Raw genomic sequence first — 25,013 nt, 5'->3', positions numbered from 1 at the left:
TAGCCTGAAAATCAAAGCACATATACTAAGAAGTTTATGCTAAATAAAACGTATAAGATGAGGGAAGGCCTAAGGACTTGAGTTACTAACTAGTACATGGTTTTGTGAAAGCTGCGTTGAGCTCTGGGGAATTTTTTTTGTTTTTCTTATTTCTGAGCTGAGAATCTTGTTACAGAGGTTTAAGGTGGTTTGACTGCTAGATAAATAGATAGTGAATAGAAACTTATTTGGTATAGTCAAGAAATGAGTGAGCATTTCAGTTACTGAAGAATTACAAGATATGGCTAATATTACTGGTTTTTAAAGAATTAGAATGCAAATAATTTTTACTTAATCTTTGGTGAATTTGGTTCTGTCTTTGGTTCAGATGCTGTAGCTCTCTACTTAAAATCATTCTGAGGCTTCCCACTCATCTGATTTAATTTTTTTTTTTTTAGACAGAGTCTTGCTCTGTCGCCCAGGCTGGAGTGCAATGGCACCATCTCAGCTCACTACAGCCTCTGCCTCCTGGGTTCAAGTGATTCTCCTGTCTCAGCCTCCCAAGTAACTGGGATTACAGGCACGCTCCACCACATCCAGCTAATTTTTGTATTTTTAGTAGAGATGGGGTTTCGCTATGTTGTCCAAGCTGGTCTCAAACTTCTGAGCGCAAGTGATCTTCCTGCCTCAGCCCCCCAAAGTGCTGGGATTACAGGCGTGAGCCACCACACCCGGCCAAATCTGATAAAAATTTTGAAAAATCAGTATCCTGCATGGTCTGGCTTCCTACCTCATCTCTTAGCAGCCCGTTGCCTTGCCCTTTGTTTTTCGGCACGTATTATTAGGACCTTCCTTAGACCCTGGAACCTCCCACATGCTTTTCTTCCTTTGATCTTTCCGGTGCTGTTTTCTTTGAGTAGAATATATCCCTCTCTCTTTGCCAGTGGTTTACTCAGTTTGTGTGTTTTTTTTTCTTTTTTTGGTGAGCTCAGCTCAAACTTGACTTCTTCAGAGAAGTCTTCTGTAAAACCACCAGAGTTCAAGTCCTCTATTTTACATGTTTATATGAATCTTTTTTTTTTTTTTTTTTTTTGAGACAGAGTCTAACTCTGTCGGCCAGGCCGGAGTGCAGTGGCACGATCTCAGCTAACTGCAACCTCCGCCTGCTGGGCTCAAGCAATTCTCCTGCCTCAGCCTCTGAGTAGTTGGGATTACAGGCATGTGCCACCACACCCGGCTAATTTTTGTATTTTTAGTAGAGACGGGGTTTCACCATGTTGGCCAGGCTGGTCTCGAACTCCTGACCTCAGGTAATCCACCTGCCTCGGCCTCCCAAAGTGCTGGGATTACAGGCGTGAGCCACCGCACCCAGCCTGTTTCTATGAATCTTTTATGTCTCCATCATAGCACTTGTAGTGACTGTCATTAAGTAGTTAATTGTGAAATTTGTCATTTAATGCATGCCTTCATAGCTGAAATATAGGCTCCATGAAGGCAGGGACTGTCATTGTTTTCCATAGTATCTTTAAGGATGAGCATTTAATGCTCAGTATCTTTTTTTTTTTTCCAAGGCAGAGTTTCACTCTGTTGCTCAGGCTGGAGTGCAGTGGCATGATCATGGCTCACTGCAGCCTCTACCTCCTGGGCTCAAGGGATCCTCCTGCCTCAGCCTCCAGATTAGCTGGGACCACAGGTGTGTGCCACCATGCCTGGTGAATTTTTTTGTATTTTTTGAGAGATAGGATCATACTATTTTGCCCACGCTAGAGTGAAACTCCTAGGCTCAAGCAGTCTGCCTACCAGGGCCTCCCAAAGTGCTGGGATTACAGGTGTGAGCCCCTGTACCCAGCCAATGCTCAGTATTTTTAATACTTAGTGTTTGACGGGTAGCTGGCTATCAATAAGTATTTATCCAATAAGTAAATGAATGAGTAGTGCTTAGATAACATTATTCATGTATCTCATTATGCCATTATTCATTATTATATAATTCTGAGCTTTTTTTTGTTTTTTTTTTGAGACAGAGTCTCGTTCTGTCGCCCAGGCTGGAGTACAGTGGCATGATCTCGGCTCACTGCAACCACCACCTTCCAGGTTCAAGTGATTCTCCCGCCTCAGCCTCCCAAGTAGCTGGGATTATAGGCGCTTGCCGCCACGCCCGGCTAATTTTTGTATTTTTAGTAGAGACAGGGTTTCATCGTGTTGACCAGGCTGGTCTCAAACTCCTGACCTCAGGTGATCTGCCTGCCTTGGCCTACCAAAGTGCTGGGATTACAGACGTGAGCCACCGTGCCTGGCTGCATTTTTTTTTTCTTCAATTTTTAAAAGTGAGCAATGGACTGGGCGTGGTGGCTCATGCTTGTAATCCCAGCACTTTGGGAGACTTAGATGGGTGGATCTCTTGAGTTTAGGATTTCAAGACCAGCCTGGGCAATGTGGCGAAACTCCATCTCTACAAAAAATACAAAAATTAGCTGGGTGTGGTGGCATGCGCCCGCACCTGTAGTCCCAACGACTGAGTAGGCTGAGGTGGGAGGATCACTTGAACTCGGGAGGCGGAGGTTACAGTAAGTTGAGATCATGCCACTGCACTCCAGCCTGGGTGACAGAGTGAGACCCTGCCTCTAAAATAAAGGGAGCAGTGAACATAAAAATAAGTCTCTTTTTCTGTTTAACGTGTAAAATGCCAATGGTTCTAGGAAGAACAGCTTTTAGTAAATAAAAGTGTTTTTTTTAGAAAAATTCTTGCGTACTATTTTTTTCTGCTAAAAATTAATGTAACTAATTGTGCTCTATTATAACTTTTTAAAAATTAACGAATACAAATAAAATGCTGGTCCCAGGATGCTTTTTGTTCATGAAAGAAAAATGACATTCAAAACACTATGTAGCTGGCCAGGTGCAGTGGCTCATGCCTGTAATCCCAGCACTTTGGGAGGCCGAGGCGGGCGGATCACCTGAGTTTGCTAGTTTGAGACCAGCCTGACCAACATGGTGAAACACCATCTCTACTAAAAATACAAAATTAGCCAGGGGTGCTGGCGCATGCCTTTAACCCCAGCTACTTGGGAGGCTGAGGCAGGAGGATCGCTTGAACCCAGGGGCCAGAGGTTTCACTGAGCCGAGATCGCACCGTTGCCCTCTAGCCTGGGTGACAGCGAGACTCCATCTCAAAAAAAAAAAAAAATGTAGCTTACTGACATTTCAGATGTGTGATGTGTTAAATGTCTGCATGGCCTTTCATTTTCTGCTGCCAAGTCATACTGAATGGGATTCTCGTACATTTTTAAAGGATGGAAATAAATAAAATACTGAGTCTATAATTCATTTAACAAATATTTCTTGAGCTTCAACCATATGCCAGGCATTTGATATGTAAGGGTGAACAAAATGCACAGGGTTCCTGTGCTCAAGGAATTTATACTTTAGTTGGCAGAGACAGACCACAATCTGATTATCACAGAAATAAATAGACAATGGCAACCCAGTGTGTACTATTAAAGGAGAAAGTAGGAGAGCAATAGGTTGATACCCCTTACCTAGACTGGGTAGTAGAAAACGGATGTTTTTCCCGGAGGAAGTGACACTTGAGAAAGGATCTAAAGGAAGATGAGTTTGTCAGGTAAAGGTTCCAGACAGAAGGAACAGCATGTACAGAGGCCCTTGAGGCAGGAGGAGCACGGTTTTGAACTTACAGAAGCCAATGGAACTGGATCAGAAAAGAGGTGTGGGAAAGGAGTTTAATAGAGCTGGAGAGGTAGGCATATACCACATCAGCATCCTAGACAACATTAAAGATTTGAGTCATTAAAATGTCATTACTGTCACCAGTTTAGATTATGAAATCTAAATATCTGTCAGTAGAGGCTAGTCAAATAAATCACAGTATAACGATGTAAAGGAATACTGTGTAGCTGTGAAAAAAGTGAATGAGGAAATTTACAACTGTCAAGTTGAAATATAGAGACAAATCTCTGAGATTAAAATATTTTATTTGAGAAGAAAATTGCAGGCCAGGCATGGTGGCTCATGCCTGTAATCCTAGCACTTTGGGAGGCCGAGGTGGGCGGGTCACTTGAGGTCAGGAGTTTGAAACCAGCCTGGCCAACATGGTGAAACCCCGTCTCTACTAAAAATAAGAAAATTAGCCATGCGTGGTGGCAGGCTCCTGTAATCCTAGCTACTTGGGAGGCTGAGGCAGAAGAATCGCTTGAACCTGGGAGGGAGAGGTTGTAGTGAGCCAAGATCACGCCACTGCAGTCCAGCCTGGGTGACAGAGCCAGACTCTGTCTCAAAAAAAAAAAAGAGAAAGGCAATTTGGGAAATACACACAGACCATGTGGTCTTGGCTGTCTGAAGAACAAAGAGGTTAGAGGTTTTATAAAAAGGAGAAATGTTACATATCACTCTTCAAGAAAGCTCATTGGCACTAGTAAGGTTTTGGGGAGCTGGCAAGCTCTGACTGGCATGTAATCAACTTTCACGCAACCTACTCAAAAAATAAAAATTCAATTTAATATTGAAATTTCAAAAAACGGAATTGAAAAGGAGAAAAATTCTATGGCATATGTATATGTCCTATATGAGATTTTAAAGGATTCTTTCAGCATAGTAGGTTATCATTTTCTCTGAATTTATTGTAATAATAATTATATATCATTTTGTTATAATATCTTGAGAATATATTTATTATATCTCAAGTCAGATATATTTTGTAAAGTATTATAGTAGTTAAGAACACTTTTGCTGGTGTGAGATCCTGAGTTCATATTCTGGCACTGTAATTTGTACAGTTGGTTAACTGGGAAAATTGCTTGAACTCTCTAAAACTGTTTTGTCTTCTGTAAAATGAAAATAATACTATTTATCTGATAAAGTTGAGGTGCGAATGATATGATATACATGTGAAGCACTTGAGAGAATGCCTAGATATGCTGCTCACGTAAGAAAAAGTTACATATTATCCCTTTCTATGAAAATATCTTCTAGGGCCGGGTGCGGTGGCTCACACCTGTAATCCCAGCACTTTGGGAGGCTGAGGTGGGTGGATCATGAGGTCAGGAGTTCAAGACCAGCGTGGCCAACATGGTAAAACCCCGTCTCTACTAAAAATACAAAAAAATTAGCCAGACGTGGTGGCACGCGCCTGTAATTCCAGCTACTTGGGAGGCTGAGGCAGGAGGATTGCTTGAATCCAGGAGGTAGAGGTTGCAGTGAGCTGAGATTGAGCAACTGCACTCCAGCCTGGGTGACAGAGCAAGACTCCGTCTCGAAAAAAAAAAAAAGAAAAGAAAAAAAAGAAAATATCTTCTAATTAATACCACATCTCAAAAGTTTGAATGCACAGAGAGAATACTGAAAGGATTTATGCCAATAAGTTATTGTAGTTGCTTCTGACAAGTAGGATTATGGCTGATATTTGTTTCTTGCTTTTTGTTTTGTGTATTTTCTAAATTATGAGTCATGAGCATGTATTTAAAATTAGTAACATCTGCCATTTAAATATGCTACCTTTCCTATTAATTTTTAGTAGCAGCTTTTTTGGCAGTGTTAGAAAGTCTACACATCCTGATTCAAATTATGTTACTGCTTGATTCTACAAATTTATCCATAACTTTGTGCTTTCTTCCTTGTATTTTGATTAATTTTAAAAGGCTTTGTGGCTGGAGCTGCTAAATTGTGATTGGAATGGGAAAGGGCTTGCATTTTGAGACCATCTGTGGGAGTTGCATTGTCTGAAACTGACGAGATCATGGCAGATGGCGAGGTCAAAAGATTGACTTTTTGAGCTTGACATAATGTGTTCATGAAGCTGGAAGAAGAAATCCAACTTATTTTTTTAACTAACAGAAGAGCTTGGTGACAGGAAGAAGTGTGCAATTGTTGAGTCTGGATAAAACATAATGCATCAGTGCACATGACTGGTTTATCTCTGAGAATCATCCATACTGCCAAAGATGGCAACTTCTTGAACCTTTCTGTGCCAAATTTATTTAATTTCTAGACACTTTGGAAAGTTTAAGTCATACAATGCAAATAATTTATAGATTAAAGACAATGTCAAAAAAGACAAAAACTTTAAAACTATTTAGAAATGTGTATTTTTAAATTAAAATGCTATAAAGTATCACTCAAAGCCAATACAGCATACTTAATTTTTAATTGAATGAAGAAAGTCTCTATCACAATCCCATTTGTTTTTACAATGTCTATCTTAATGTAACTTTATTTCTTTAAAATTACATTTGAACGTTTGGTGATTACAGTCTTTCTCATCTACTAGGCTGTCTTCATTGCCTGAGATAGTGCCATGCACATAGTGACTGTTCAGTATTTGCTGGATGAGTAATGAATGAATGAAGTTATTGCCTACTCTTGTTAATTTTAGAAGAGTTTTTTTTTTTAACCACAATTAAACAGGTTTTTTTTCTATTTTGAAATTGGGTTTATGTTATGGTATTTTTCACTTCTACCATGTGGGAATTATGTATTATTTATTTTAGAGAAGGAAGCCTTAATTTGTCATGAGAAATCAATGAACAGATTTTTTTCCCCCCTCTAACATTGAATGCTTAACTTGTGCTAGGCAGTGTCTTAGTAATTTTACATGTATTGACTCATTTAATTAAGTGGCTGACTCTTACTATTTTAGAGATGAAGAAATTGAGACACAGAGATGTTAAGGTAAATTTGCTTAAGAAATCCATGCGCTTTGGCTTTATTTCAAACATTTATTATTTAGGTAATACTTAGAGATTCCAGTTTGTGCTGTACTCTGGTGTGGAGAGTCAAAGGAATACCAAACAAAATTGTACTTTGTTCTGTGAAGCTCATTAATATGGCTATTTTTATTGGTACCCTCTTACTATATTGTGCTGAAATAGTAATACTCTGTTAATTTCATTTTATTTACGTGAATAACACAGTGACCCTCATTAGCCCAGCCCTTAGGAAATATAACATCATTGAGTACTGAATTCAGAAATGGAGCAGATGCCCGGAGACAAGCAGCTCTAGCCATCACAACTATGCTCTGGGCACAAAAAAACACAAAGGGTGGGGAAAAAGGACACCTACTAGTTGAATCTGGTAGCCCACACCAACAATGTCTGCTTATATTTCATTGGCCAGAATTATGTTATCTGTGATATGGTTAGCCCATCTGAGAGGAAGGTTGACGATGTAGTATTTGTAGTTGGGGGCACATTGCCACTTCAGCTTGTAAGGAAGAAGAGGAAAATGATATTGGGTAGGCAATAGTATTTGCTTTGGAAATATAGAGTGTTTCTAAAATGTAACATGTTCAAACCATTTGATGGAAAAGACTTAGTAGTTTTTTTGTTATAACTGTATTTCAGCAGGTCATGAGATAGTCTTAAATTTGTTAAAATTGAACTTTTTTGTTGTTAGGAGTGTTCAGAATATGTATAAACTGGAGGGCGTATAAACTCTTAACATAACTCTGAAACATTCAGTGTATCAGTTTTTCAGATGAAGACATGGAGGCTCTAAGAGGTTAGGTTACTTGTTCAGGATCACACAACTAAGTATCAGAGCTGAGACGGAGCCAAAGTCCATACTCTTTCCACTCTACTGCACTGCTGCTTTATTTATTAGATGCTGACTTCAAGCAGGACACTTACAACCAGGCTGTTAATTTGTTGATTTTTTTTCTATTTCATTAATTTATGCTCTTTGTTTCTTTTCATATTTCTTTGAGTTCTCACTGTTCTTTTACGTATTTAAATTGATTGATGGCTTAATGAATAAAAAGAAATATAAATATACCCTAAGTACTAGTTCTGCTGGATTTTATAAGTTTTTTTAAATTTTCATTGTCATTTCTTTCTGAATATTTTATTTTTTAATTGTTATTCTAGTTCTAAATATTTCACATTCATGGAGTGTTTAATAATATAGCTAAATATATGACTTTTAACTTTCTAAAAAATAGTTGATTCCTAATTTAATTGCATTGTAGTCAGAGACCATAATCTGTGTAATATTTCCTCTCTGAAATTTTTGCTTCCCCTTGGTGATAGCATATATGGACAAATTTTATAAATTTGTGCCTAAAGAGATGTTTCAGATCTATTAGATACAGAATTCTGTATAGATCTGTTAGATCAAGCTTGGTTGAAATATTAATCTTCAAAATGCAATACTTAACATTTTAACTTTAAATTATTAGTTTGAATATGCCAGGTAGTCTGTTGAATGGGATATCAGGAATTTGTGCTTTATTATTTATCTTACATTTAAATTTATATCACTAGAGAGGACGTAAGAAATAATTGATAAATGTAGAACAGATATAGCATAGGAACTTTATTTTTAGATTAGGTCATAATAGACATTGTACAACTACTGTAAGCAAAACTTGTAATTGTGGTTCAGGTTTTACTTCGATTTTTAAATTTATGCTTTATCATTGAAAAATTACAAATTCAGTGTTTTATTGAAAAGCAAAAGAAAGGAGGGGGGAGCATCAGGACAAATAGCTAATGCATGTGGAGCTTAAAACCTAGGTGACGGGTTGATAGGTGCAGCAAATCACCATGGCACACGTATACCTATGTATACCTATGTAACAAAACTGCATGTTCTGCACATGAAAAAAACAGAAAAAAAAAACCTTGCTTTTCTTCTACAAAATTTTACTTGTAGATTCAAATTCTAACATATAAGGCAGCCATTTGAAGCCCCCATTTCTTTGAACACCCATTATTTATGATCTTTGCGAAGTTAAGTTTTACTTTATCCTTCCCCTTGAATGTCTTATTAAAGTTTAATTTTGAGATAATTTTAAAATAAGAGAAAAGTTACAAAAATAGGTCAAAGAACTCCCAGATGCCCTTCACCCAGATTCACCAGTTGTAACCATTTTGTCACATATTCTTTATTATTCTTTCTCTGTATAGTGAGACCATATTTTGTCATCATTTGAGAGTAAGTTGCCACCATTATACCCCTCCACTCCTAAATATTTTAGTGTATTTTTTATAAGAAAGAGGACACTCAATTATAGAAAACTCCATAGTTTTTGGAATCCAAAAAGATGTGAGGAAAAGAAAACTCCAAGTTCATTGATCAAAGTCAGGAAATGTAACATTGAAACAATACTATTATCCAGTCTGTAGATCTAATCTCCAATTACCCAAATAATGGTCTTCACAGCAGTTTTTTTTTTCTAGTTCAGTGTCCTGACCAAGATCACAGGTTGAATTCAGTTTTCATATGTTTTTAGTCTTTTTTTAAATTTTTTATTTATTTAATTTTTTTTGAGAAGGAGTCTCTTTCTGTTTCCCAGGCTGGAGTGCAATGGCGCGTTCTCGGCTCACTACAACCTCCACCTCCTGAGTTCAAGCAATTCTCCTGCCTCAACCTCCCAAGTAGCCAGGACTACAGACACGCACCACCACACCCAGCTAATTTTTTTGTATTTTTAGTAGAGAAGGGGTTTCACCATGTTGGCCAGGCTGGTCTCGAACTCCTGACCTCAGGTGATCCACTCGCCTCAGCCTCCCAAAGTGCTGGGATTACAGGCGTGAGCCGCTGCGCCCAGCAGTTTTTAGTCTTTTTAAATCTGGAAAGTTTCTCAGCCTTTCTTTGCCATTCATGACACTAACATTTTTTGAAGAATTCAGGCCATTATTTTGTAGAATGCCTCTCAATTTGGATTTCTCTGATATTTCCTCATGATTAAATTTAGATTTTGCATATTGGGCAAACGTACCTCAGAATTCATGCTGTATCCATCTCAGTGCGCTTGAAGAGACACATGTTGGCTTGCCCCATTATTGGTAATCATTTGGTAACTTTGATCACTTGGCTAAAGTGATTTATGCCATATTTCTTTCACTAGAAAATTTGAATTAGTAGGTATTTTGTAGGGAGATATTTCAACGCTATGGAAATATCCTATTTTTCACCATATTTTCACTGACTAGTTTTACTGTGTATTAATTATTCTTTTCTTATTAGTTATGATGGTTCCAAAATGGAAGTTTTACTAACTGTATCACTCATTTATATTTATTAGTTGGCGTTCTACTGCAAAGAATTTCTCATCTCCCCCTTTAGCCCCAGTAATCCTGGATTATTATTTTATTCAATGGGTTTATAATCTGTTACTATCATTATGTACTTTGGTGTTCAGTTGTTGAAAATTGTCCAGCTGTAGGCTCTATTCAATGGGTTTATAATCTGTTACTATCAGTATGTACTTTGGTGTTCAGTTGTTGAAAATTGTCCAGCTGTAGGCTCTTTAAGCTGATTTCTGTGTACTTTTGACATGTCTCCATCATTTTTTGAGCCCTTCCTTACTTTAGGCACAATAAGATGTTCTAGGTTTATCTTGTACTAGAATCAGCCATTTCTCCAAGAAGCCCTGGTGTTTCTTTCAGTGGATTTTCTAAAGCAGCATAGCCTAATACCATTTCAAAGCCCAGGCTCCAGCACTTGTGAACTGAGTTGACATGGTCAAATTAGTTAACCTTTCTAAGCCCTAGTTTTTATTTGGAAAATGGGGATTAAGATGGTACAAACCTCATAGTGTTGTTGTGAAGATTAATTTAGACAGTTCACTTAGATAACAATGCATGTCACATAGTAAATATGACATAAATGTTGCCTATTATTATTATTACATTACTATTCCCTCTGTTTTCCTTTAACAGGTTGTTCTTTTAAAGAATTATTGAAGACGAAGGTTTTTTTCTTTTTATTTTTTTAATGGCTTTACAGAATCTTAAATAGAATACAGTTTGACATGACGGCAAAAAATGTAAGTATTTGTAAATTTTTTAATGTAAGTATTGTTTAAAGTGAGCTGTGCTTTTTCCTACATATTTTCTCACCATTCTGGTTAACCAGATTTAATTTACTTGCATGGATTTATAATTGTATTTGTTTATGTTTATGCAGAATATGAGATAAGCTTTAATGCGATTGAATATGGTGCCCTAATGGAGATAGTAGCATTCTTGCAAATTGGCACCAAGTTACTTCTCAACAGCTGCAAATTGCTATCTCCAGAAGGTTTCCCACCCTGCCCTCCTCTTTTGGATATTGTAATAAATTTGTTTTGGTACTTGCTGGAGGGTTACTTGGCCTTTTTGAGCAAATCACTGTTTTCTTTGGCTTATTTTTTTTTTTTTTTTTTGGTTACTCAGGGAAATGTATGTGCTCAGATATTGTCTGAAAGTAGCTTGCTACCTTCCATGAGATGGTTCCTGAAGAAACATTAGATTTTAGATGTTTTGGAGAAGTTATTCAAGTTTTTCCCTCTACTTGAGGTGATCATTTCTGAATATACCTCCTTTCAAGTTGTATGTCACTCTTTATTTATTTATTTGTCACTGTTTATTAATGAGTTTGTTTCCAGTTATGGTAAAGAATTGTGCCTTAAAGAGTACAACATATAGGGGAATTATTTGTAAATTGCTTTACTGTTCCAATGTTATATGTATTAAAGTCTAATTGCTTTACTGTTCCTATATTATTATGTAGGAATCTTTGACTGGGAATTAAACAAAAAGGGAATTTGTTATAAAGATGCAGGGATATCTCAAGGAATTTAAGAGTGGGAATTTTATGGGCCCTCAGAAAGATCCAGGCCCAGAAACTAGAAATCCAGCAGGAATTGAAGCAGTATTTGGTTTTCATTTCTCATCTCTCTCAGCTTGTTACTGTGTACCTGCTTCATTTCTCCCTCTGTCTGTCTGTCCAAATCATCTTTCTCAGTTCCCCAGCCAGGATGGTGGAACATGGCCCCACTCAGCATTTCCATCTATATGTTAGGGGACCAGCCTGTTCAGAGAGAGGTGTGAAGAAAGGGAAGGAGGCAGGCCAGGCATGGTGGCTCACGCCTGTAATCCCAGCACTTTGGGAGGCCAAGGTGGGCAGATCACCTGAGGTCAGGAGTTCGAGACCAGCCTGGCCAACATGGTGAAACCCCGTCTCTACTAAAAATACAAAAAGTAGCCAGGCGCGGTGACAGACGCCTGTAATTCCAGCTACTCGGGAGGCTGAGGCAGGAGAATCCCTTGAACCCGGGAGGCGGAGGTTGCAGTAAGCTGAGATTACCCCATTGCACTCCAGCCTGGGGGACAAGAGCGAGACTTCGTCTCAAGAAAAAAAAAGGGAAGGAGGTAGCTTGATGCATCCTGCCTGCCTTTCTAGTTTCAGACTCCTTAGGAGGAGCCTCTGGCACAGTTAAAGTCTGATGTTGACTAGTGCTTTAGTTAGTTGTGACCAGGAGAAGCAAGTGTTGTTGCATGAAATGGCTGCTGAGGGTCCAGCACAGTGTGTGAGGAAAGATGATAAAGGGTTTCTTGTGAGTCAGACCGATAGTTCTAAATATTGCCCATTATGCAGCCGAACAATAGCGTTAACAAACAAATCCTTATTGCATTATGTCTGTTTGCTTATTTTGGGTTATAATTCAGAACATTGCTTTTAACATGCATTGGTAACTAGAAGCAGATACAGATTTTGCTTCATTATCATTTGGGGACAGTCATCAAGATTTATTGAGTCATTAGGATATGAGGGCAGGAAAGAAGTTAGAGACTTCTCAGTATTTGACTTGTGTAACTGGGTAAATGACTGTGCTGTTTAATTAGAAGAGGAATTCTTAGGGAGGTATAGGATATTGTGATAAACTTAAATATTCTGTTTTGAACATACTAAAGTTGAGAAACCTAAAAACTTCCAAGTGGAGATATTGGCTAGGCGATTTGATAAGTGACTCTGGCGCTCAGGGGAAAGCTTAGGAATGGAGGTAGAAATTTTGGGGTCATTTCTTTTTTTTTTTTTTTGAAATGGAGTCTTGCTCTGTTGCCCGGGCTGGAATACAATGGCACAATCTCAGCTCACTGCAACCTCTGCCTCCCAGGTTCAAGTGATTCTCCTGCCTCAGCCTCCCAAGTAGCTGGGATTACAGGCATGTGCACCATGCCCGGCTAATTTTGTATTTTTAGTAGAGACGGGGTTTCTCCATGTTGGTCAGGCTGGTCTCAAACTCCCGACCTCAGGTAATCTGCCTGCCTCAGCCTCCCAAAGTGCTGGGATTATAAGTGTGAGCCACCGCGCCTGGCCCGGGTCATTTCATATTAAAATCATTGTAAAGCAATGGGACTACATGTGATCATATAGTGAGTGCATGGATAGCAAATATATAAGGACCAAGGTCTGAGCACAGGGATTCTCCAACAAAAAGGTGGAAAGCAAGAGAAGCCATAAAGGACACTCAAAGAATGGGCAAAGACAGGAAGAAAAGAGTTATCCTGATGATCTGGAGGCCCAGGTGAAGAAAGTGTTTCAAGGGGAAGTGATCAATTGTGTCACATGTTACTGAGAAGTGACTCACAAACACAGAAGAGATTGTAGATAGGGAAGAGATTGCCCTCTTACAGAGGCATTACTAACCATGTATTCAAATATGTACATTTTAAATTTTCTCATTTTACATGTCTCTGATGACAACAGTTTTTTTGTGAAGAGTTACTTTTGTCTTATCCATGCTTTATTAGGTCTCTTATAGTTGCAAATGATCGAAACCCTATCAAAACAGCTTAACACAAAAAGTGGAATGTATTGACTTATATAATTGAAAAGTCTAGAGGCTGCTTCAAACACATCTAGATTCCAGGGATCAAACGATGATGTCAGGGGTCTGTCTTCTTCCATCTTTAGGCCTTCTGTATGGTGGCATAATGGCTTGCATTGGCCTCATAATACTTGTCTCAGAAGGAGAGAGAGAACTTTTGTGTTTTAAAGAGATGGAGTCTGGCTATGTTGCCCAGGCTGGTCTCAAACCCCTGACTTCAAGGGATCTGCCTGACTTGGCCTCCCATAGTGCTAGGATTACAGGTGTGAGCCACTGCACCTGGCCCCTTTTTAGTATTTATGTTTCAAAATCTACGGAGAAGTTTGAGTTGACCTTGCTTAAACTCCGTGGAGATGGAAGTGGGATACGGTAAGTGGCCAGGCTTTGAGTCATGAGCCCACTTTGAGCCTCTAAGATTAATTGTCTTACTAGAACTACATGAGATGTAGGATTGATCACTTTGCAAAAGGAAGAGGTGAGGAGCTGGCAACATATTTATTGTATCTGGGGTGAAATTGCTATCAAATAGTATCTAGTATCCAGTAATATTTTTCTAGACCAAAAATGCAGTTGTGTTCTAATTTAAGCAATAATACAGTAAATAATTTGAAATATAATTTTTGAGGGTTTTTTTTTTTTGCCTTGTCAATGAATCTTTAAGAAAAACATGTAGGCTGTAATACTCATTATGGAAAAATTAGAAAATACAGATAAAGAAAAGAAAAAATAGCCTAGAGACTGTCAGCAAAATTTTGCTTAGGAAGATATCTGATTTGTATACAAATTTGTATATGTAGCAATCAAAATGTATAGACATTGGCCCAGCGCGATGGCTCACGCCTGTAATCCGAGCACTTTGGGAGGCCAAGGCAGGCGATACTTGAGGTCAGGAGTTCGAGACCAGCCTGGCCAACATGGTAAAACCCCATCTCTACTAAAAATACAAAAATTAGCTGGGTGTGGTGGCAGTGTGCCTGTAATCCCAGCTACTTGGGCCAGAGGGGCTGAGGCAAGATAATCACTTGAACCTGGGAGGCAGAGGTTGCAGTGAGCCGAGATCGTGCCACTACACTCTAGCCTGGGCAATAGGGACTATAAATTGCTGGGTTTATGGACATGAGCCACCGTGCCTGGCTACTATTTAATTTCTGTGATGAATGCATTTTCTTATCTTGATATCTCTGGAACATCATTTTAAGTGTCTATTTTAGTTTAGTTTAGTTTGGGACAGGGTCTTGCTCTGTTGCCCCGGCTGGAGTGCAGTGGCATGATCATGGCTCACTGCAGCCTCCACCTCCTGGGCTCAAGCGATGCTCCCACCTCAGCCTCTCCAGTAGCGGAACTACAGGCACCTTGCCCACTTAATTTCTTCTTTTCTTTGTAGGGACAGGATCTCACTATGTTCCTTAAGGCTGGTCTCAAACTCTTGGGCTCAAGCAATCTTCCTGCCTTAGCCTCCCTAGGTGCTCCTATTACAGGCATGAGCCATGGTGCCTGGCCTAAGTGGCTATTTTATGTTATTTATTGTATGGATATTACACCAGTTTCCTAATATTGACCATTAAGTTACTTCTGCTTTTTTCCTTTTTGGAACATTTTGTCTGTTTTTGCTCACTCATCATATTATCTCCAGAAGAAAAATTCTATGAAATTACTGAGCCAAAGTGTGTATAATTTTTTAGAGCTTTTGATTCATATTGCTAAGATTGCACAGATTTATATATATACTTGTGGTATATGAAAGTGACATTTCTTTTTATATGTTTATAAATCTTTGCCAATTTAATCAGCAAAAAATGGTGTGCAATTTATTACATTTCTCTGATTACTAGTTAAGTAAACTAACATTCTGTATGTTTATTGGTCATTTGCATTTCTCTTTTGCATATGGTCTGTGTCAGGGTTGAAGTGTTGGAAGCCATTGCCATTTGGATGACAACCCACACTTAAATATTGCTTTGGCATATTAATAGATATATTTTTGCCAAATTAACAGATAAATTTACATAATCATTTGACTCGATCCTATGAGCTCTTTAGTTTGTCTTGCACATACGTTCTATCATTCCCATTTTGTAGTGACCGTTCCACGATCACCTTGCCTGTGAAAGGTAGAGCTTAACTGAGCACAGATGATCTTACTCTGAACATTTCAGTAATGTTATGTCAGTCAGAAATGTTGAATATCAATGAAATTACAATATTATTAGTCAATATGATCTGATTCTTAAAAATTGAACTTAAATACTTTGAATTCAGTAAACGCATAGTGACTGGTTATATAGTACACAACACAGCATTGGAATACCCACTATAGTAACCATTTTATATATATGTATCTTATAACATCATGTTTTATACCTTAAATACAGACAATACAATTTATTTTTAAAAATTGAGAAAAAAGAGAGGAATACTCAGCATATTTTCCTCAGGACATGATTAGGCAAAGAATTTAACATGAAATATGAGTTCACTTTTTTCTCTTGTTCATTGAAAGATAAGTCCTTTTTAAATAGGTAGAATAAGGGAAGAATGGCTAATATTTTAGGATGCTTTCGCTAGCCAACTTTTTCTACTCTCAAATAATACAGTTTTTTTGAATCTTTACAAAATGTTTATGATAGTAGAAATTAATACATATTTTGAAGTTTTAATTAAATATATTTTGGTTTTATATATAAGCTTTAAATACAAACACCTCCCCTCCATCTATGAGACTAAGATTAGCATGCAGTATGGACTCACAATTGACTTTTATCTTTTTGGAGTACAATTTGTTGGTTCTTAAGATGCAGGTGTACAGCTGCTTAAAAAGTTTCCACATTCGTTGGCTGTTTTACTCTGCAGAAGTTGGATATTAAGAGCAGGTGTTTAAGCATAACGGTAACCCAGTAACTGAACTCTCTATTATGAATATGTGGTTTTAGTTGAGGTTTTTGAGGTTTAGTTGAGGTTGTATAATAACAAAAAGGTATAAACTGATCCTTTTGAAGTTATTATAATACATGTATTTAAATGGTTATATTGTATCAAGCATGGAATTTATTAAAGGCTGTCTTTGCCTTCTTTGCTTTCTTTTTAAAGTAGAACACCAACAAGTTTTGCCTCTGTCATCTTCCTATAGCAGAAGAGTTTAAAAAGGAGGGGGGAGTTATTAGTAATGGCACAATAAACTCTTCAACAAATCAACAAGTTGGATATTTAACATTATTTGTGAGCAACTGAAGAGCCATAACATATAGTTATTTGTTGCAAATTTTGTTGGAAAGTATTGTCTTTATTTCTAACTGAAAAGTGATAAGAAGCTGGACAAAGTTAAGTATCTGCACTATTATCTACATAGAATTAAGAGGCCATTTTCTAGATGACTTAGTCTCAGCTACTGTCATAAAAATTTGATGATGATAGATTCTAGAGATTTGCATCAAAATCACTTGTTAGGATATGAAAAATATGTAAAAATATTACTGCTAACATACTTCTTGACAGAAAGAAACAGCTATTAGTAGAGCATTTGAATTCTTAGTAGAGCATTGAATTATCAAATAATGAAATAATTAGCTCTTACATTGATATTATAAACTATCAAATAATTGCTTATGAAAAATATAAATACAGCCAGGCGTGGTGGCTCACGCCTGTAATCCCAGTACTTTGGGAGGCCAAGACGGGTGGATCACTTGAGGACAGGAGTTTGAGACCAGCCTGACCAACATGGTGAAACCCTGTCTCTACTGAAAATACATAATTAGCTGGGCGTGGTGGTGGACGCCTGTAATCCCAGCTACTTGGGAGGTTGAGGCAGGAGAATTGCTTGAACCCGGGACGCAGAGGTTACAGTAAGCCGAGATTGTGCCACTGCACTCCAGCCTGAGCAACAAAAACGAAACTCCATCTGAAAAAAAAAAGAAGAAGAAAAATATAAGTAGTCAGTGTTTAGAACAATAAGTGGATAGTTATAAAGTTATAAAGCTTTGTGTGCTTTAAAATCTTTTCAGATTGCTGGAGATCTGATGTGCTGCACAGTGATGATAATTAATAGTACTGTATTGTGTGCTTGTAATTTGCTAAAAGGATAGATCTTAAATTGAATCTTCGCAACACACATATACACAATAATAGCTATATAGAGGTAATGGATATGTCAGCTTGACTGTGGTGATCATTTTACAATGTATACATATATCAAAACATCAAGATGTACACCTTAAGTGTATGCCATTTTTATATATCAATGATATCTCAGTAAAGGGGTTAAAAAATCCTTTCCATGTGGTAGTGTCTTGAAAGTATAGTTTGAGGGCTGGGCGTGGTGACTGATGCCTGTAATCCCAGCACTTTGGGAAGCTACGGTGGGCAGATCACTTGAGGTCAGGAGTTCGAGACCAGCCTGGCCAACATGGTGAAACCCCTTCTCTACTAAAAATACAAAAATTAGCTGGGCGTGGTGGCAGGTGCCTGTAATCCCAGCTACCTGGGAGGCTGAGGCAGGAGAATCACTTGAACCCGGGAGGCGGAGGTTGCAGTGAGCCAAGATGGTGCCATTGCACTCCAGCCTGGGCCACAAGAGTGAAACGCCATCTCAAAAAAAAAAAAAAAAGTACAGTTTGAGGTATCATACCACAAACTTGTGATGTTACAAGTTAGTGTAATGTAACAAAATTGTAATGTTTCAAGGTTACAAATCTTCAATGCTTACAAAAAGTATTTGATAGTAATAATAGAGCCAATTTTTGGATGTTTGCGTTCTGCCAAGTTTTCAAAAATTGAGGGTTTTTTTTCCTCCAGGCTTTGTAATATATTTCTGATATTCTGTTTGATGATATTCCTGTATTCAGCTCTGTGATGCCAAGTAGTGTAGTGGATATTACCTTAAATGAAATAAATTATCTAAAAGTGAATTCATAAATACTTGCTGTGGGTAGTCCCTCAAGTATAATACTGACAGTAACGTATGCTGACATGGATTGAGCAGTATGTGCCAAATCCTGTGCTATATGCTTTACATGAATTATCTCATTTAGTCTTTATAACAACCTGAATTGCTAAGTACTGGTATCACCCTCCAATTTACAGATGAGGAAATGCATGACTTGACCAAGGCCAAACCCCTAGTAGGCTTGATGGTCCAGAATATGAATCCAAGCAGTTGGACTTAAGGCCAATGTATTTTACTTCTGCATTGTGGTATTAATGGTCTTTATTTGATTCCTCACATGTCATAGTATTGAAAGCATTTTAGATAGTGATTAAGAATAGTACAAATTAAGGGCAACAGTGGGGATGGAATTTTGAAATATCTATTGGCAACTTCATGGCTGCCACATTACTTACTTGCTTTCAAAGAACTGTCAGTAAAATCTGTAAAATCTCAGTTCTGCTCATAAGTAATAGTATTTCATTAATTTTTATCTTAAGCTGGACAATTCATATTCCCCTCACCTTTTTTTTTTTTGAGACAGGGTCTCACTCTGTCATCCAGGCTGGAGTGCAGTGGCATGATCTCAGCTCACTGCAACACCTCTGCCTCCCAGGCTCAAGCAATCCTCCGACCTCAGCCTCCCAAGTAGTTGGGACTACAGGCAATATTCTTCCCCTTTTAAATAATATGTCAACATTTCATTTTAAAATAATACTCCTGTGGTTAATATAATTAATTCATTTGATGTGGCTATATATATTTGATATGGATGTCTGATGGAAGATATAAAATAGCTTGTTAAGTGAACACATACTACTTAATATTCTATTTTTAACTTTTTAAACGGTTTTATTCAGGTTGGTTTGACTTCCACAAATGCAGAAGTAAGAGGATTTATAGATCAGAATCTCAGTCCAACAAAAGGTAAGGATTATTGAATAAAATTTTTCTGAATTAAGTTAGTTTTATTGCATTTGTTTTGTAAAATATGCAGCTACATGAATTACTTTATGTATAATAATTTTATGATATTAGCACGTTGTTCCATGCCACATAACTTGTGCTGTATGAAAGTCATTTACCTCTGACAGACGGAGGATTTTTGTGTGTGATTTTTCTCTTTCCTAAGAGATCTCTAAGATCCCTTATCAATGATCTTATTACAATTGAAACTGTTCAGACCACTTTTTTCTTGATTTTCTTGTTTGACAATCCTACTTTCAAATGGTTTAAGTTGTAAGGAAGTACAGTAGAGAAAATACGTATATATGTGTTTTGTATATTTTATATACGTGTGTATGTGTGTATTTCTTTGACTAATATATGTCTTACTGGAAGAATGCTTATATCAGAAATCTGGCCCACTGGCTTGGTGCAGTGGCTCACACCTGTAATCCCAGCACTTTGGGAGGCCGAGGCAGAAGGATCACTTGAGCCCAGGAGTTTGAGACCAGCCTGGGTAACATAGTGAGACTCTGTCTTTACAAAAACTTAGCCGGGCATGGTGATGTGTACCTGTAGTCCCAGCTATTCAGGAGGCCAGTGTAGGAGGATTGCTTGAGCCTGGAAGGTTGAGGCTGCAGTGAGCCATAATCATGCCACTGTACTCCAGCCTGGGTGACAGAATGAGACCTTGTCTCAAAAGAAAAAAAAGTATTCTGACCCACCAGTACAAGAACTTACACAGGAACCAGCAGTATCTTTCAATATGTCTCTTTGAACAATATCTTGTGGTATATAGAGATACATGCTGAAATGTCTACGGATGAAATTATATGATGTCTGGAATTGGCTTCAAAATAATCCACTAGGAGAAGGAGGGTAAAGTGGGTGGTATTATAGATAAAACAATATTGTCTTAAGTTGATTATTTGTTTAAGTTAGGTAATATTTCTGTGGGGTTTCATTATTCCTTTCCTTTCTCTTTTGTGTGTATTTGAAATTTTTCATTATAAACTGTAGGAAAAAGATCTATTACAATACAAATAGCTATGAGAGAAACATCAGCTTCCTTAAAGGGTTTATGTCTAAGGTGGGAGACGTACTCTAGAGCAGAGGTCCCCAATTCCCAGGCTGTGAGCTCATGGCCTGTTAGGAACCAGGCTGCATAGCAGAAGGTGAGCGGCCAGCAAGTGAGCATTAGATTCTCATAGGAGGGCGAACCCTATTGTGAACTGCACATGGGAGGGATCTGGGTTGTGCAGTCCTTTAGAGAATTTAATGCCTGATTATCTGAGGTGGAACAGTTTCATCCTGAAACCATCCATCTCTCTCCACCCCCATCCATGGAAAAATTGTCTTCCACGAAACTGGTCCCTGGTACCAAAAAAGGTTGGGGACCACTGTTCTAGAGAGCAGGCTAGAGACATCTATATTCCAATATAAAAATGTCTAGCTTATTTTATTTATTTTTTTTTTGGTGGCAGAGTCTCACTCTGTTGCCCAGGCTGGAGTGCAGTGGCATGATCTTGGCTCACTGCAACCTCCACTTCCCGGGTTCAAGTGATTCTCCTTCCTCAGCCTCCCAAGTAGATGGGATTACAGGCACATGCCACAATGCCTGGCTACTTTTTGTATTTTTGGTAGAGACAGGGTTTCCACGGTTTCACCTTGTTGGCCAGGTTTAAGCCACCACACCTGGCCTAGCTTAATAATAGTAATAGTCTGTGGGAATGATTCTGAGAGTTAAGGTATGTATTATGAGGCCATTTAAGAGATACTTTAAGCCTCAATGCTCCTCATTTTTTTTCCCACATGACAACATTCATAGAAAATGATAACATTTGTGGGATGCACTAGGGCTAAACAAAAAGGCTGCTTAAGGTCAGGATTAAGCTACCTAAAAGCTTCAGCTGCCCGAGGCCACTCCAGACTGCCGTGAGGGCTGAGGGACTCCATTCTTTTGTATACCCATAGCTTATTCACAACACGTAACTGGGAATCTCTGCTCTAATAAAACGTAGTAATCAGGTCAGGGGAAGGAAGTGGGAACAACAAGCTTGGTAGACATGGAAGACATATTGAGTATTGCAATAATGAGAATAATGGAATGATGCAGCAACCTTGAAAATAAAGAGAGGATAGCAAGTCATAAAGGGGAAAAGTGACATGGAAAAATGCTTTTGGCTGGGCATGGTCGCTCACACCTGTAATCCCAGCACTTTGGGGGGCCAAGGTGGGCGGATCACCTGAGGTAAGGAGTTTGAGACCAGCCTGAGCAACATGGTGAAACCCTGTCTCTACTAAAAGTACAAATATTAGCCAGGTGTGGTGGCAGGTGTCTGTAATCCCAGCTACTGCGGAGGCTGAGGCAAGAGAATCACTTGAACCCAGGAGGCGGAAGCTGCAGTGAGCTGAGATCATGCCATTGCACTCCAGCCTGGGCAACAGAATGAGAGTCTGTCTCCAAAAAAAAAAAAAAAGGAAAGAAAGAAAGAAAAATGCTTCCAAAAGACAGAAGACAAAGAAAGAGAATGGGGGTTTAGGTGAGAAAGATTGTCTTTGATGGTAGAATAGGCATCTGAAGGGTAAGTACTAGTTATAAATGTTAGCCCTGGACAGATGTTAACACCAGTAAAGTTTAGTTACAGAGTAAAACCTCAGTTTGTTTAACTTTATAGAACAAATGGAGAGGAAGACAGAGAATCATTTAAGAGTGGACTAGAGAGATCAGATTTTGAAATAGCTATATGCATGTGTTTGTTTTTGAGACAGGGTTTTGCTATGCCCAGGGTGGTTTTGAACTCCTGGAGTTCAAACCTCTGGAGTAGCTGAGACTACAGGCATGTGTCACTGCACCTGGCTGAAATAATTATATGTTTTAAAAGAAAACTGTTGCTCTTCTTTGAGCTGTTAGCTAGTAACAGCAGAAGGAACTTCACATTAAGTGAACCAACAAGATTTGGAAGAGATTTCTTTTAATTGGTAAAATTCAGTTAATATTTGTTACAGGCCCAAGATGAGAGTTGTATTGGAAGTGAGATGTAGAAAAGTATTTTTCTTAATTGAAATGATGATGTAGCAATGATATTATAGAAACTTTTGAAAAATAGAAAAAAAATTCTGCCTTTCTAATACAACCTTTTCTTTTTTGTAATTTTTCATAATTATTTATATAACTATGTTTTAAAGTTATAAAACTGGTAAGTATTATAGTTGTCTATTTTCCTTTTTTGACTGAATCTAAAAAACACACTTTGCATGTTTTCACATTTATAAATACCTTTCTTAGAGCTTCATACTGTTTCATTGTGCTTATGAGTAATGATTTATTAAACATTTTTTCATTTCCTTATTGTTGGATATTTGTCTTTTTTGTTGGTTATATATGATGCATATATATTTCTATATATGATATAAACCTATGATGTTGGACATCATAATGAATCTTTAATCAGCTAAGTTTTTGTTTCTTTTTATTTATTAAGATAAGTACTCAGAAGTGCAGTTACTGGGTCACTCCCCTGCCTAATTAAACCCTTTTAAGCAACTTCCTATTTAAATTAAAATAAAATCCCAAATCCCTTACCTGCAACACCCTGAAGTTAGGTCCTGAAGTTAGGTTCATTTTTTTCCTACCATTTTTCCTCTGTGTTCTTCACATATGACAATTTTCATTAATCTGTCTTCAAGTTAGCTTATTTTTTTTCAGTTATCACTATTCTATTAATCCTAGCCAGTGATTTTTTTTTTCAGACGTTGCATTTTTCAGTTCGAGAATTTCCATTGGGTTCTTTATGTTTTTTTTTTTTCTACTGAGGAGAGAGGGTGAAAGCACAAATGCAAGAGCATTGACAAAGAAATTGTAGAATGTTAGAGCAGCACTGAACTCAATTGAGGTTAAAGATCTTAAACCCTGCTGGACGCAGTGACTCACACCTGTAATCCCAGCATTTTGAGAGGCTGAGGGGGGTGGAACACCTGAGGTCAGGAGTTTGAGACCAGCCTTACCAACATGGTGAAACCCTGTCTCTACTAAAAAATACAAAAATTAGCTGGGCATGGTGGCGGGCACCTGTAATCCCAGCTGCTTGGGAGGCTGAGGCAGGAGAATCGCTTGAACCAGGGAGGCAGAGGTTGTAGTGAGCCAAGATCACGTCATTGCACTCCAGCCTGGGTGACAGAGCAAGACTCCGTCAAAAAAAAAAAAGATATTAAATCCAGGAGGTCGACTACTTTTGTCCAGCAGCACTGATAAGAAAGATAGCTGGTCTGGGCACAGTAGCTCATGCCTATGATCCCAGCACCCTGGGAGACTGAGGTGGAAGGATTTCCTGAGTCCAGGAATTTGAGGCTGCAGTGAGCTATGATTGCACAATTGCATTCCAGCCTGGGTGACAGAGCATGACCCTGTCTCAAAAAAAAAAAAAAAGAAAAAAAAAAAGACCTGGCGCAGTGGCTCACACCTATAATTCCAGCACTTTGGGAAGTTCGAGCCCCCAGCCTAGGCAGCATGATGAAACCCTGTCTCTACTAAAAATACAGAAATTAGCCAGGTGTGGTGGCGCATGCCTGTAATCCCAGCTACTCGGGTGGCAGAGACACAAGAATCACCTGAACCCGGGAGGTGGAGGTTGCAGTGCGTCAAGATCACGCCACCGCACTCCAGCCTGGGGGATAGAGTGAAACTCTGTCTCAAAAAAAAAAGAGAAAAAAGAAAAAAAAAAGATAGCTGGACTGCTCCAGGGTTGCGTTATATCCAGCCAGTACTACAGAAGGGAAAACAGTATAGATGTGAGACACATATAAAGATTGTTTTGTGGCAAGAAATGAGACCTGAGAGGTAGGCCACATTCTTTCATTGATTCAGCAAATATTTATTGAATAGTACTTACTTACTATGTGCCAGGCATTTTTCTAGGTGCTAAGGATAAACAAGGAATAGAACAAAGTCCCTTCCCTCATGGAGCTTACATTCTGGTGAGGAAGATAGATTACAAACACATACACATAAAAAACTGGTTATGTGAAAAAATCTGTATATCAGGGTATAGGACTGAGGATACAACAGCAAGGAGATTCAGCTTTAGATGGGGTGGGTCAGAGAAGAATGCACTGAGGAAGTAACAATGTAGCAGAGGAGGTGACTACACAGTAGAGACCTAGATAATAAAGTTATTACTCATAATCTGTAATGCTAATTAGACTGCGACTTAATGAATCAGTAAAGAAATATGCAAAATAGGCTGGGTGCCATGGCTCATGCCTATAATCCCAACACTTTGGGAGGCCAAGGGGGGTGGATTGCTTGAGCTCAGCAGTTCAAGACCAGCCTGGGCAACATGGCAAAACCCCACCTCTACAAAAATTACAAAAAAATTAGCTGGTATGGTGGCGTGTACCTGTAGTCCCAGCTTCTCTGGAGGCTGAGGCAGGAGGATCACTTGAGCCTGGAAGGTGGAGGTTGCAGTGAGCTGAGATCGTACCACTGAACTCCAGCCTAGGTGACAGAGTGAGGCCCTGTCTCAAAAAAAAAAAAAAAGAAAAGAAGTATGTGAA

General features: G+C 38.4%; 1 protein-coding gene across 19 annotated transcripts in view; it reads left to right on the top strand.

The window, feature by feature from the left end:
* Window positions 1–25,013, top strand: part of TFDP2 (transcription factor Dp-2) — a 205,117-nt gene that overhangs the window by 37,045 nt on the left and 143,059 nt on the right. For 12 of the 19 annotated variants that reach the window (NM_001375780.1, XM_017007100.3, NM_001178139.2 and 9 more), the window contains exons 2-3: window positions 10,659–10,765; window positions 19,373–19,439. Coding sequence is in view for 7 of the 19 variants with exons in the window: in XM_017007100.3 (XP_016862589.1) it covers window positions 10,751–10,765; window positions 19,373–19,439 (82 nt within the window). In the remaining 12 variants the exon portion in view is untranslated. Of the gene's footprint in view, window positions 1–10,658; window positions 10,766–11,153; window positions 11,277–19,372; window positions 19,440–25,013 lie in introns of those variants that run through there. The other 7 variants (XM_047448779.1, XM_047448785.1, XM_047448784.1 and 4 more) reach the window with 1 other exon arrangement.

This window comes from Homo sapiens, chromosome 3, assembly GCF_000001405.40.
Source record: "Homo sapiens chromosome 3, GRCh38.p14 Primary Assembly".
In the NCBI taxonomy this organism is placed as follows: Eukaryota; Metazoa; Chordata; class Mammalia; order Primates; family Hominidae; genus Homo; species Homo sapiens.
Note: the sequence above shows the minus strand (reverse complement) of the source record. Positions and strands in the feature narration are given on the sequence as shown.